Source organism: Homo sapiens, chromosome 5, assembly GCF_000001405.40.
Source record: "Homo sapiens chromosome 5, GRCh38.p14 Primary Assembly".
NCBI classification, from domain to species: domain Eukaryota; kingdom Metazoa; phylum Chordata; class Mammalia; order Primates; family Hominidae; genus Homo; species Homo sapiens.
In genome coordinates this window covers 78,513,971-78,529,101 of record NC_000005.10, presented here as the reverse complement: position 1 = coordinate 78,529,101, position 15,131 = coordinate 78,513,971, and the positions used below count along the sequence as shown (strand labels likewise).

The 15,131-nt window shown below is 44.7% G+C and overlaps 1 protein-coding gene across 6 annotated transcripts in view, besides 1 other annotated feature; it reads left to right on the top strand.

Moving 5' to 3' along the window:
• The window catches only part of LHFPL2 (LHFPL tetraspan subfamily member 2), a 163,543-nt gene that overhangs the window by 119,671 nt on the left and 28,741 nt on the right, over window positions 1-15,131 (top strand). The gene's annotated exons all lie outside the window — the stretch shown is intronic.
• Window positions 7,242-7,536: a silencer, noted in NCBI's record as "tiled region #4833; HepG2 Repressive DNase unmatched - State 7:EnhWF". NCBI's record gives its function as "represses a minimal TATA promoter and a strong SV40 promoter by Sharpr-MPRA in HepG2 cells {active_cell/tissue: HepG2}" and the evidence as "EXISTENCE:reporter gene assay evidence [ECO:0000049][PMID:27701403]".

Sequence of the window (15,131 nt, the reverse complement as noted above, 5' to 3'; positions counted from 1 at the left end):
TCTTGTTATGTTGCCCAGGCTGTTGAACGCCTGGCCTCAAGCAGTCCTCCCGTCTCAGCCTCTCAAAGTGGTGGGATTACAGGCATGAGCTACCATACCTGGGAAAAGTTTTAAAGTATGAAAATACTTGCCTTTGACAGGGCTCTGCCAATTAACATTTGGCTTTCAAAAAACAAGCTGTTTTTATCTGTTAGCATTAGGCTGGTTAAAATAGACGTATCTTGGTTGTTGGTATTTATTAACATCTTTTGAATGTGGATGCTTGTGACTGTCTTGGGTGTTGAAGGGAATGCTCTATATTTATTGATACACTTAAATGGCCATTGCCTCAGTTTCCTATTTGTGAAACATAATAGCACCTACCTGACAGCTGTGAGGGAGTTAAGGGGTGGTGCATTTAGTGGGTACACATACATAACTGTGCCTGCTGCTTTGGTAGGGCCTCTAAATGGCACCATCATTGTTAGTTATTGCTGCAGAAACACATTCTATAACCAGTGTACAAACATGGTAATGAGTTAACATGAATACAATAGAGCAACGGTCCCCAACCTTTTTGGCACCAGGGACCTGTTTCGTGGAAGACAATTTTTCTATGTATGATGGGGTGGGATGGTTTCAGGATGAAACTATCTCAGATCATCAGGTATTAGATTCTCATAAGGAGCATGCAACCTAGATCCTTTGCACACACAGTTCACAATAGGGTTTGTGCTCCTATGAGAATCTAATGCCACTGTTGATATGACAAGAGGCAGAGCTCAGGTGGTAATTCTGGCTTGCCACCACTCACCTCCTGCTGTGCAGCCCAGTTCCTAACAGGCCACAGACCGGTACTGGTTTGTGGCCTGGGGGTTGGGGACCCCTGCGATAAAGGAGTCTTAGAGCATAAAATGGAGAGTGTGTCAGCAGAGTTGAGTTAGAACAATAGAACTTGGAAGCCCATAGCAGGTACAGTTCTGTGACTAAGTGCCCACAAGAAATGCATTGGTTTAAGCATTTCAGTATTGTTTTATGTTACTGGGAGCACAGTTAAGCCAAAGAGAGATCCAATTTTAGACAGATAGTGGTGGTTCAGAGATGGAAAATAGCTGGCAGCTCCAGGTTCAGAAAATCAAGGAGGGTTATCAGAACTGAGAAACGAGAAATAAACAGTAGAGATCAATGACCATTGGATGTTACTCTTAATCGCTTACACTCCTCAGGATTCAGAACGAGAGGTGTTGCTGACTTCATGTTCTTATCCAGGCAGTTCAGTAAATGCCATGTATCTGAATAAATAAAGCTTGGGGTAGGGTGGGGACCAAGATGGGTAGCTAATTTTCCCAGCTGAATGATGTTGTTTAGTCTGTCTTTTGCTGGGACTAGAAACTGTTGTAATATTACAAGTTGAAAATTTCACAATCTTTTTTTTTTCTTTGTGAAGTAAAATCTGAAATCCTTCGTCCCTTGACTTCATTAGAAGTGCAGTGAAACTGGCCTTCTAGATCTGTTTCCAGTCAGAGGACTTTATATACAAAGTTCGTGAACACAAAAGGGTCTGGTGAAATAACGAGATGGGAGGCTGGTCCAAATTTCTGATCCTTTTGAGTTAAAAGTCATTCTGAGCAGTGGCTGTTGACTGTACCACCCAGGGGGCAATCTGCAAGTGCGGTTGTCATTTATTAGCCTTCTTTACTTCTAGGCTCTCAGTGACTTCTCATTTGAACTTTTGGAAAAAAAAAAAAAAAAAAAAAAACTCCTCATCAGCATTAAGAGCTTTCCCGAAGCTTGATCTTCAGAGTCTTGCTTCCTGATTTCCAGACAGAACTGAGTTAAAAACATAGTAACTGGGTTCGTTTGTTTTCCTGTCTCCAAGGCGTTTGGCCCCATGTTAATCTTCCCAGCTGAGGCAGGAGAGGAACACTTAGTCACTCACACTGCTCACTGACATGAGCCAGCAATGGAAATGGTGACTTGACAAAATGCTGGCCGGGGAACTGGAGTTCTCCTTCAAGCAGGACCAAATATTTCCCAAATTAATTCTGACAAAGCGAATTTAACATTCAACCTTCTGGAGTTTCTCAGAATAGTTTAGGGTATTTTAAGTCAACTCTGTATTTGTTGCCTGTTATTCAAATTTCTAACCTCAACTACCTATTGGGTCCTTCCACATTGGCATCAAATAGTTTTCTTTTCCAAGCTGGGCTATGGATGTTTTTATCTTGTGAAAATTCCCCGGGAAAGCGACGCCATGGTGATGTCTTTGATTGGATGTTGGGGTCACATGGAGGGTGCTGTGTAGCCTTCAGGAAAGAATGGAGGTCTGTCTTGTCTTCTTCATTTGGTTTTTGAAGTGCATTCAATTGACAATAACATAATAATAGCATATCATGGTAAAAAATCACTCGCCTCCACTGGGTTTTTGTGTGGACCCAACTTGGGCTCAGAAGATTACAGATGGTTGGGGCACATTGTTGAATGTTAAAGTGTGCAGCCTTAAGCACTAGGCACAAGCCCACTGCTATTCTGGGTTATTTAATTTACTTTGATGAGGAAGGAACGATCTGGTGCATTTGAATGACAGAATAGATAACTGCATATCACTGGGATGTAAGTATAACATGGGTTCAGAAGAAGACCGCAAAGACAGTATTTCAGTAAATATTGCCAGGCTTTGTCTCACAAAGACTTGGTTGTATTTCTGAGTGGCTAATTAGGAGGTGTTTTCAATTTAATGTTGCATTCGCTATGAGTCAGATAGAAAGTCAAGATGATTGTTTTTAACAGCTTATTTCAGACTTCAGCTACCGGAAAAAGTCACTGACTATTTCTAAACCCAAGGAGATTTGAGTGCTGATTGACTCACAGTATTTGTGTTCCAGTGAGTCCGTCCACACCCAGCCTGTATGTGACACACAAACTTGGAGTGTGGGGAGGAGTGGGGAGGCAAGAAAATGGAGTGCTCTGTAGAGTGGTGGCGGGGGCCAGGGCTACAGAGGCCAGCAGAAGAGGCAGAGAGCGGGGCTTTGTTCAGTTTCCTACTGAGGGGCCGGGGAACAGCTAGTGGGAGAGACCCAGGTTTGAAGCCCCTGGCACTGGACTTGGGGAGGCTGGGGTGGCTCTGCTGCCTTCTTCAGCAGGCTCAGATAGGAAGAAGCTGGAAGGCAGCTCTTGACCAGAGAGGAGGCTCTATCTACCGTGCTCACACTTTCCTACTTCCTTGGTGTTGAGCCATATTACTTTTCTTCTTAGCTCCATCACAACTGTCCTCTGCACCTTGCAGTGGCCATTTTCAGCTATTTAGATACTCACCAGCTCTCACTGTGGTATCCTATTCCCAAACGCAGCATGTTTATTTTAACTTGTGTCTTCAAGCAGTTTTTAGAAGGTGCACACTTTTACCTTTTCCTCTTTGTGTCAGGATATTTCTCCTTAGTCTGTATCCGTTTTCGCATTTCATCTCTTTTCTCTTTATTCTCTTTACTCCCCACTTTATCCTCCAAGGGATGAAAACAACTTGATTTTTATCAAGGTGAGTGTTAATAAGTGGCCGTGTGTTTCTAACACACTAGCCTTTGTGCCCTGTACAGACTGCTTAGATGTGAGCTGTGTGGGCATTCGTTCTTATTAATGACCCCATGAATGACCTGCTCAATTCATTTTTCCAAGGTTATGGATCTGTGACTTTTCTTTAACCATTATCATTGCTACCATTTACTGAATGCTTACTCTGTGCATTACAGTGCTTTATGCAAAGCACTTTACATGTATTCTCTCATTTAGTCTTCATCTCTACCCTATAAGATATCCTCATTTTATAGCTGGGGAAATTGAGGCATAGGGAGATTAGTGATTGCCCTGCTTTATTCTGCCAGTGTGTCCTATAGTCAGCATTTGACGCTCATCTCAGTCCCTGGGTCTAAACCACAGCAGTACCTTCTGGAGCAGGATTGTCCCCTGGGAACATTCAGCAGTGTCTAAAGACATTGTTTTTGGCCACGACTGAGAGCGCGCTACTGGCATATAGTGGGAAGAAGCTAGGAATGCTGCTAACCATCCTTCAATTTATAGGACCAGCCCCTGCAACAAAGAATTATTCAGCCCCAAGTGTTAGAAGTACTGAAGTTGAGAAACCCTGTTATATCTAGAAACATTTACCTTTAATACTCAAGGAGTACCAAGTATTAAATATCCACACAATGTTCTGAAGTTTTAATTATTTCAAGAAATATTTATTGTTTGCATAGTTTCAAACATTTAAAAAATACTCAACAGGGAGAAAAATATGTAACTGTTTCCAAAGAGAAAACATTTCATGAGATTCCTAACTTTTGAGATTCTGAGGATGTCTAACAATTTTTTTTTTTTTTTTTTTTTGAGAACAGGGTCACATTCTGTCCCCCAGACTGGAGTGCAGTGGTGCAATCTTGGCTCACTGCAAACTCTGCCTTCTGGGTTCAAGCGATTCTTGTGCCTCAGCCTCCTGAGCAGCTGGGGCTACAGGCGCCCGCCACCACACCTGGCTAATTTTTGTATTTTTAGTGGAGGTGGGGTTTCACCATTTTGTCCAGGCTGATCTTGAACTCCTGGGCTCAAGTGATCCGCCTGCCCTGGCCTCCCAAAGTGCTAGGTTTACAGGCATGAGCCACTGCGCCTGGCCGGATATCTAACAATTCTTATACCTCCATTGTGATATTATTGTTGGAACAGAGCATGACATTTGAATAATTACGCCAGACATTTTTTCTTTGGTTCCCACTTAGAAGCTGTATACACATAAATTCTCTGCTAGATGTCAGTAGGAAATTCTAAAATTGTGAAACTTGGTGTCTTGGGCTTATTGGGTCCCATGAGTGAGTGTGCCCGAAAACCTCACTGAGCAGCCCAAGGGAAAAGGCTGTGAGGCCGAGGAGCATAACCTGGGCGCAAGGTGAGCAAGGCCCGGGTTTTCCTGAGAAGGAGGCTGGGTGTGGGTTCTGTGTGGAGCGAGTCTTGTAGCCTTAATGACAACCTTCTGTTTCTGTGTTCTAGTCATGTGCTCAGCCCCTCTGCTCATCAGGCAAAACCGAGTGTTCCCAGTTGGAGAAGTTTAAGGTCTTCCTGTTTGTCTGAACTCCTGGCAGCGAAAACATAGACATCTGTGCATTGTCCGGCTCGTTTCCTTCCCTCAGCCCCCTGCCCAGCCCCTCCACAGCATCTACACCATTGTATTGTTCACATTCTTCCTTATCTTGACCTTGTACTAACTGCCTGTTTATTGTAATGACTCCTCAGATAAAGTACTGCTTGGGACTTTTTTCTTTTAATTAAATGTTTGGGGTTGAGAAATTGAGAATCTAGTGAAACTGCAGCGCGCAACATTTTGAAGTGTATCTCGGGCCACGGCAAGACTGACTTCAGTTCCTGCTGGACTCATTACTTCTTTTTAGGGGGAAATGTTTGTTTCTCAGGCTGTGACTGTCAATGACGTCCACTGGCCCCTGTGGGCCATTGCCACCCTCATTCTGTCCTCGCCCTTGCCTTCTAGGACCATCCCCCCTCATTCTTCGCCCTTGGCAGGTTATCTCTGTGGCAGGTTGTCTCTTGTCCTCTGTCTCTTTGGCAGATTTCCCCCCTTTGCCTGTCTCAGGCAGATAGCATCCCCAGGGTACATTCTGGTCCTCCCGCCTTCTTCTACCCCCTCACTGTGGGGGAGCTCCATCCTACCCCAGGCTTTCTGTACACTGAGAGCTCCCAAGTCTCCTGAGTGCCTAACATATTTAAAGTAGTTAAGGGTCATTCTAGTTCCTCGTAAACCATTATAAAAAGTTCACAAATAATCCTGTGAGTTAAAAAGTGAATTCGAATGGGTACGAGGGGCTGTGAGAACATAAGGTGAGTTTTAATTCTTCTGTTTGAAATTCATCATACTATATAGCTAGCAGATATGCCTGGGTTAAAAAATCACTCGCCCCTTCATTTTCCATTTTTACTTGCAGAAATACACACACACACACACACACACACACCACAGACACACACACGTGCACACGCCAGAAAAGGGTTATCAGCCACTTCTGTCTTGCTGAGAACATAAGCAGTGTCAGCATGGTCCACCCTTCTTGACTTCTATTAAGAAGTGTTTTTATGCGACCATCTGGGGTTATACAACAGATGCAGAAAAACGTCAACCTTTTCTCCCCCCTCAGCTACAACTCTCCCATTTGAATTAACCGTCTGTTTACTTCCCAGATATCATATCCCTGATAAAACCTTATCTTGGTTTTCTCAAGATTCTCACCCCTCAGTCCTGCCCTACCCACATCAGGGCACTGAGTTCTCAATGACCTAGTTATGGTCTTCAGTGGCTCAGGTCTTTATTATATCTGTGTATTTCCTGATTCCAGTGTTAATAAGTTTCCGGAGGGCAGTAAGAGTATCTTCAGGTCTCCTTCCCTGCCTTCCCTCTCCACCCCCATTGTCCAGTACTTCAACCTTGGACAATTGGTTGTGAACAAGGGTTGGTTCTAGAGGTGTCTGAATTGCCTTACCACTTTAGAACTTCAGTGCTTGGTTCAATAAAAGTTGGCTGTTAGTAATCACAGTGATAAACAAGTGTCAGCAAACGTATATTAACGTGAATTCTTTGGTTTGGGAGGTCAGCAATGTGAGAGACTCCTTTTTAAAATTTTTTTTTTATTTTGAGACAAGAGTCTCACTCTGTCACCCAGGCTGAAGCGCAATGCGTGATCTCGGCTCACTGCAACCTCAGCCTCCTGGGTTTAAGTGATTCTCATGCCTCAGCCTCCTGAGTAGCTGAGACTACAGGTGCCCGCCACCATGCCTGGCTAAATTTTTGTTTTTTTTAGTAGAGACAGGGTTTTGCCATGTTGGTCAGGCTGGTCTCAAACTCCTGAGCTCAGGTGATCCACCCGCCTGGGCCTCCCTAGATTACAGCTGTGAGCCAACATGCCTGGCCAATGTGACTCCTTTTTAAGTGCTTTAGTTTTAGCTGATGTTTAATGAGTATTATTTTCAAGAAGCATGAGTTTTGGTGAGAAGAGAGGAAAAAGCAAATATTCTGGGTTCTGGGAAAAATTATTTTTGCAGAATTGATGCAGCTTTACCTATTACCTCAGAAATCCATCAGGTCTGTTAAGAGCCTGGGCCCTTGGTTTCCTGGGGTGGGAGTAGGGGTCGTATCTGCACACAGCATAGGGTTATTGCTCTCCTCCGCATAGCCAGCCGTAGAAGGTCTGCATTTTCATTCCTGCCCATATCACAAAGGCCTGAGATGGTTCAGCACTTCCTTTTATGAATGCCCATCTCTGCTAAATGGCAGATTGGAGCAAAAGTCAGGAAATTAGGAGGAGTGAAAGTGGACGTGTTTGGGTCATTCTTGTTGTTGACATAGCTTTATTCTCACAACCCAAGCTTTCAGCCCACCTGTCAATTTAGGATGTGCGTGGCTGACTGCCAAGTAATTTATCTTATCAGAACCTCTCACCCCTGACCTTTGCTATTGGTGATTATCATGCTAATCAGCTCAGTTTTACTGAACCTTATAAAATATTGCCTTTAACAGCATGGGAGGCAAAATTTTTTTAAAAAAATTTAAATCTATCCATGGTGTTGTTGATAATGCCAAATAAAATTGCAAATCACTTTAAATTAATGTCATCTCAGTAGCTTAATCACCAGACTATTGGGTTGGAGTATTAGATTTTAAAACATCATTTGAATCATTTAGTTGATAACAAAACAAGACATTTTATTAGATCATTAATAAAAATACTCATCAGAAATTGCCCCTGGATAGATGTAAATCTGCCTTCTAGGGCCATTTATAACTGATGAGAGAATTGTACTGCTTGATTTTAATAATTTACTGAGGAATGGAGGATAAATAGCACACGTTAATTTTATAGGACTGTTTCATACAGTTTATGTTTTGAAATGAAAGGGATATGACTTCTGACTCTTGCCTGAAGCTAAGTCACTTAAAAAGGAGTCTCCCATAGTGCTGGCTTTTCAGCTTTAGAATTCCAATTGATATGTATGTGTTAATCAGTTGGCACCTTTCTTGACATATATAAGAAAGCAAAATAGAAATCCTTTTAAAAACGGTTAAGACTTTGTATTCTGCCATGTCTTTCGGCATACAGCTATCAAATTGTTCGTGATTCCAAGCATTTTAGTTGTCTGAAACAGGAAGGAAAAGTATATAAGAAAGGAACGGTCAGTGATTTTTCAGAACTGAGTAAGGGTCCTTTAATGGCAGGGTCCATCTCTGCGGCCCGGGGCAGGGGGGCCTCATTTGTAGCAGTTAGCAGTTAGCCGAAAGACCGTAGTGGGAAATGCTCTACCGTTTTCCCAAGAGTAGAAGTCAGAGTTAGGTTCTCCCACCCCAGGAAAAAAAACATATGAGCAGAAGAGGGAGCCAGGCCAGCTCCCACCCTTGGCCAGGGCCATTGTGTAGTGCCCACGGGTGTGCCCTGGCCATGGCTGCTCAGCTCTCCATCAGCCACGGCTGTCCGTTGCCATTCCTGGTAACCTGTGGGGTCTCCCCGTCTCCCTTCCAACCAGAGACCTCCCTCTCCAGAGGAGCAGGTCCTATGGAGCCATCTGCTCTAGAAGGAGCCTCTAGTCTGGGAGAAGGTAGAAGAGGTGGTCATATGCTTGAAGTGACTGACTTTTGGAGCTGAAAGTGACAGTGGTGATCTGCAAGTCCAGCGCCTTCACTTTGGGCCTGAGACATTGAAGCCAGAGTAGGCAGTGGAGCTGTGCGAGGTCACACATCCATTAGCCGAGAGCCTGGGTCGGGACCCGTGTTTTCCTGCCTGCCTGCCTAGTGGGTCTTTTTCCCTTGCCTATGACTTTGCCATTGGACAAATTTCCTTCTACAGAGAGTGAGGATGATAATAGAAGGTGCTTTTGTGGCCTTGGGGAGATAAGCGGCAGAAACATAAATGTTGACCTATATGATGGTAATAGTAATGATTCCTACTATGTCTTGGTACCTACGATTATACCTGGCTCTCCGTGCACAGTTTTTGTGTTCCACCCAAAAAGCGTGGCAGCGACTTTCCTTACCCCCACTTTAGAGATGAGGAAACTGTCCTTAGAGAGGTGACGTTTATTGCCCAAAGACACAGAGCTAGTTAATGCTAGAGCGTGGTTTATAGCATTGAAGCAGTTCCAGCTCTGTGTTACATCCTTTCCACCACACAACTCCTTTTACATGGGGAAATTAGTATTTGAAGGAAAGGCTAATTACCTACATGCCAGATGGGCTCCAGAACCGGAAGATCTAAGTGGCAAAAGGAGTGCCTGAGACACAAAGCCAGAAGTGGTCGCATTTATGCCGGGTCAAGGGACGGGGAGGCTGGATCCTGTTGCAGGGGCATAGTCCACATGGATGGAGTGCTGGCCATGTGCTAAGTGCTGTTCTAAGCTTGATACTTACTTTAACTTAATTGATCCTCACAACATCCCTATGCGGTAGGCTATTACTCCATTTTACGGACACAGGAACTGAGGAACACGGGCCCAATTTCACCTAAGGTCACTACTGAGGACCAGGGTTCAGATTAAGTGTCTGCCTCCAGACTGAATCATTCTTACATGGTGCCTTTCTGGATGAGCTCATTGCCCTGGACGGGTGGAGGTGAGGGGTTTTGTCCTGTGTACCCTTCCTGAAGCCTGACAGATCCCGCCCCAGAGGCAGATTCTGGCTGTTGCCATGTTATACTGGAACCCAGAATTATCAGCCACCCACTTGTAGGGTACAGAGAAAAGGAACTGCTCTGCAGTGATCAGGGCTGTGAGAAATGGTTTACTGTGATGAGGTCTGTCCTAACCACCTCAAAGAAGTATCTGTCAGCACCCCAGGGACATGCTCCTTTTTATCACCTAACCAAAATCCAGTCTAGTTTTTCTTCTGTGGATTCCCCCAGGCTCTCTTGCCTCGCGTCTCTCTCTTACGGAGGGCTGTGTGGGTTCTCAGTGGTCATCTTCTCCAGCCTGGCTCATGTTGGGGAGCAAGGTAGCTGGAGCTCCTGGGAGTCCATAGCACTGGGCATAGAATGGGACAGACTTCCCCTGTCCACGTTGCTTAGCAGCCCATACAGGTGAGCACCTGGGGAACAGGGAGTTGGGAAGCATCTCTTATAGAAATGAACCTAAAGCCATTTCTGCCTCAGCCTTTTGCTTTGTTTTTAAGTGGCCTGGTTTCCTCACTGCTTCTGGGACATCCAGCTGAACTTTATCTCTGTTTACTATGCCTCACTATTGTTAGAAGCTACAATAATAAGTCCCTCTTCCCAGAAAGAGGACACTGGATCATATGAACAAGTACAAGAGTTCAGACTTTTTAAAAAGGGGTTTTTCTGTGACCATCTTGAACTTTGAGCGTGCAGTGACTTCATCTAGGCTGCAGCGAGGAACACTCACTGGGCCACCTCCTCCCAGCTGGCACATTCCTGAGTCATTACACCGGCTCAGTCCTGCAGGCCAGGCTGCTGCCCAGAGTTGAAGGATCGTTCTGTATTCAAAAGTACCTATGGCTACTGGCAGCTGCGCGTGGAGCTCACGTTCCCCTGAGGAGTGTGCATCCCTTTGGAAGCTGCACTGAAGCCCATCTGTTTTCAAAGCGTAATATGAATCCTAAATATTTGGGGATTTCCTCTAGTTAATAAATGGAGAAAGTATAAACCTTTCTACAGTTTTGAATGTGGCATTCTCACTAGGGAAAGTTGGAAAACGCTGCGTACCTTGATCCCTGACCGCAGGTGATCTGCCCGCCTCGGCCTCCCAAAGTGTTGGGATTATAGGTGTGAGCCACTGTACCCAGCCTGTTACTTTTCTTAGTTAAAACTCTCTTATTATCCTGAGAAGACACAAGAGGTTCACTTTAAGACTTATATTTTGCCCAGTATCACAGAATTCATTATAAACTTGAGAAACACCTTTCATTTAAAATTCCTATAAAGCAGTGGCATTAAAAGGCAACTCCTGAAATTCAAGTTTTAATTTCATGTAAAACTGAAAATGCTTTTGACCCTATGGTCTGTACAGGCATAGGCATATGGCCCCGGCTTATGGCATCTGGGCTACATCAGATTTTAATGTCTACCTTAGAGGTTGGTTTATTCAGCCCCTCCTGCCTGTCGGACAGACACACAAAGAAAGACTTGCCCCCTAAAGAGCTTTTAGATGAGGACATTTGTAGAAATAGAGGGAAAACAAACATAAAATACGCAAGTGGGCTTTAGAAGAGAAGGAATCATTTAGAAAATAGGACCAGACAAGTGGACCTTCCGTCTCTGGCTATAGATGCTGGTATGGTTTGGCTGTGTCCCCACCCAAATCTCATTTGAATTGTAGCTCCCATAATCCCCACATGTCATGGGAGGGACCCAATGGGAGGTAATTGAATCATGGGGGCGAGTTTTTCCCATGCTGTTCTCATGATAGTCAGTAGTCTCACGAGATCTGATGGTTTTATAAAGGGCAGTTCCCCTGCACATGCTTCCTTGCCTGCTGCCATGTAAGGTGTACCTTTGCTCCTCATTCACCTTCTTCCATGATTGTGAGGTCTCCCCAGCCATGTGGAACTGTGAGTCCATTAAACCTCTTTCCTTTATAAATTACCCAGTTTCGGGTATGTCTTTATTAGCAGCATGAGAACAGACTAATACAGATGCCTCAGGATGGGAGGGTGAAAATGGCCTCTAGAAATGAGTGGCCAGAGGTAGATTAATTGGATACAGGAGGAGTTGGAGTTGGCATCAAGAAAGAAACCTATGACTGGCCAGGATGGGTGTATTAAACAACAAACTTGGCAGTGAGCATGGGGGTCAAAAGAGCTCAGTGGGGGATCCCATGCCCAGAGAAAAAGAGACTTGTTCAGGTGTGTTTGGAGGGAGGGGCTGCGAGGCAGCTGAGAATGTCAACAGTTTCAAGGGGAAAAGAAGCATGTTTAAGAGGGGTCAGGTAAGAATCAGAATGCCTGAAAATCTTATAGGTCTACCTTGTAGGGTCCTTGAGATTCCCTGAGATTTGGGGTGGCCAAGGCCACCTGAGTACCTCCTGAGTGACCAGCCCAACTCTGGAGGAGAGGAGTTTGAGAGAAGCAGAAGCCTGTGTGGCCAACCATGCAGTTTTCTGAACCCATGTCCAGGCCCCTCAGGTGTAGGTGAAGAAAGGTAACAGTAATGAATGGGGAGCCCCATTTTGCCATTCGCAGAATAGAGATTTATGAAAACAGAAGTTAACTTTAGCGTGTGATGCAGAGACCACCCAGGACCCCAGGAAAGACAGGCTCAAGGGCACAAGGTTCTGAGTCAGTCTGCCCTGGCTTCGGGGGCCCCAGTCCCTATCATCCTGTCATCTTGGACATCCAAACTAGCATGGCCTTTTTTAAAAATGGAGAAAAACAACTAAAAATATATTTAATTTAGTAAATATCATGAATGCGCAGATTATAGACATACGCATCAGAATAGACCTTTTAAAAATAGATCTTAAAAATCATCTCAAGTTGCTCCTATACATTCAAAATTGCCCTCTGTGAGAAGCCCCCAGAGCAGGGTTTCTCAACATTGACGATACTGACATTTGGGGCCAGGTAATTTTTGTTTGACAGCGCCCCTGTCCACCAGATACCAGTAGCACACACCCCTACCCCCACAGCTGTGACAGCCCCAAATGCCTTCAGACATTGCCAAACGTCCCCTGCAAAGTTGGTGTGGGGACAGAATTGCCCCTAATTGGGAACCATAGCTTCAGAGTTTTCCCAGAAGTCAGAGATGGGATGGAGAAGAGGAGTCGATCAGAAGTTGAGCCAAGGAAATTGGCAAAAGCAGGAGGTCTTGAGCATGTTTAGACGTACCCTAAAGAATAATAGAATTGTTAGTGCATTTGGGTCCTCTTAAATATAATCAAGATGTCTGTATTTCTGTAGTGAATGTGTTTTACGGGGTGGCCAGAATGAGAGTTTCAAAACCTCCTTTGGTACATTTTTTTTTAAGTCATGCAAAGTCCTGTACTTTTTGTGCCAACACTATCCTTCCAGTTCTTAAGGCTCCTTTTGTCTTCTGAAGAGAAGGACCTGAATGTTTGGGCAGATCGTTTCATGCTGTACGAGGATTATCAGACAACAGATGAGCTGGGAGAACAGCTGGTTTCCCTACAGTCACTGGGCCCTGTGACCTGGGAGGCATCATGAGCTGTGCAGGGGACAGGTGGTCTGGCTGCTGGGTCTGTCCTGACTGAGCCAGGCCACATTCCTCCTGCCTCTGCCCTTCAGCCTCCCCTCCCCAATACCAAGGAACTGACCTTTTCCACGCTGCCTCACAGTGGCCTTTCTGTGAAAGGCTCTCCTAGGAACTTGTTAGAAATGCAGATTCTGGCACCATCCAAAAAGTTTGATTCAGTGGTTGGTTGGGGACCAGGAATGTACTTTTTAAAACAGGTAGCTGTCATTCTCCTCTGGGAGATGGTCCAGGAACCCACACTTTAAGAAGCAACACTCTGGAGGGTCTTTCCAACTCTTGGAAGGCAAAAGCACATACATTCTAATTCTCTTAATCCTCCCATCCTTGCAGAAGAAACGGGGATGGAGGCCATATTGCTGACCCTTGTGGGATTCATGTGTCTGAGGGAGATTGCAAGAGTGAAAACAGAGATCGGCCAAGCATCTACCAGTCTAGCCTTTAGATGTAACTTCCAGTTTCTCTGAAATAGAGGATAGAGAACAAGTTGAAATGAAATCATGAGGAAATCGACAAATCCAGATTGTCAAGTATTTTGTAGGACAACTAGCCCAGTATCTTCAAATAGTCAATGTCGGGGAAAATAATTGGGATGGGGTGGAATAGGTTGGGTGGGAAGACTATTCTTGACTAAAAGAACCTAATCAAATGCAATGCATGAGCTGTGATTGAGTCATGGTTTTAAGAAAACAGCTATTAAAAACAGGGCAGGGGTAGGGAAATTTGAGTAGGAACTAGGCTTTGGATATAAGGGGATTATTGTCCATTCTCTTGGGTGTGCTAATCTTGTTGTGGTTATATAGGAAAATGTTCTTATTTTTAGGAGGTGTATGCTAAAGTATTTAGGGGTGAAGTGTCAGAACATCTGCAACTCATTTTCAGATAGTTCAGAAAATGTGTGAGTGTGTATGCTATAAATTGATGGAACAAATACGGGAAAATGTTAACAAATGTTGAATCTGGGTGTTGGGTATGTGGGTGATCATTGTCTGTTCTTGCCAACTTTATGTTTGAAAACGTTCATAAAAAAGTTGAAAAACAGAACCAGGGTGAGTAAGCAAGGTAGTGTTCTTCAAAACATTGTTTGTCCTGGCATCATTCTTTGGGTGTGCTGTTCCCATCAGGGTGGGGAGTGAGAGCTTTTTGATGCAACCTTGATTGACATCCTTCAGGTTTCCCTCATTCTTTCCAGGTAGATGTGAACTTTGCTCCTGAGTTTCTGTCCGGGTGATCCAGCCGGCGGGCACTGGGTGGTTCTGGCTTCACATACACTTTCTTCCCTGCTGACAGCAGGAAGCTGCCAAAGACAGATCCGGGATCTAAGTGACAAACCCCGGCTCAGCTCTACTGAGGACCTTCACTCTACCTTTTCAAATTAGGGCTCTGGGAAGAATCTGTACATAGGACTGACTCCCACAGACCAGCCATTTTGAAACTCCTCTTTGCTCCCTATTCTCTGGTATTAATGTAGGTTTCTGCAGGATTCTCATTTGTCTTTTTTTTTTTTTTAAGTGAAGAGGCTTTACTTTGCACACCGTTGTGCCAGTCATCATTTTCTGAACATCAGAGGGCTGTCTAGATGATCCACAATCACCTGGGATGTGATAGTAAGGTCAGGTGTTGTCGAGGGGAAACGTATTTAGTGGCCCGTAGAGAAGAAGTCTTTTAGGTAGAATGGCAGCGAGGGCCTAGTTTATGAAATGGGCTTTGTGGAAGCAGGCATTATGGTTAATAGCAACGGATGCCAGGCCGAAGAGGGCTGTGCCTCGTATCCCTGTGGTTAATAAGGTTCTGTCATGAGGATCTCTTTCCCCTTTGATACAGATGTCTCAGCAGGTACCTGCCTTTCAGTGCACCTAGCCAAACTGGGACAGAGCACAAACCACTGCAGAAGCC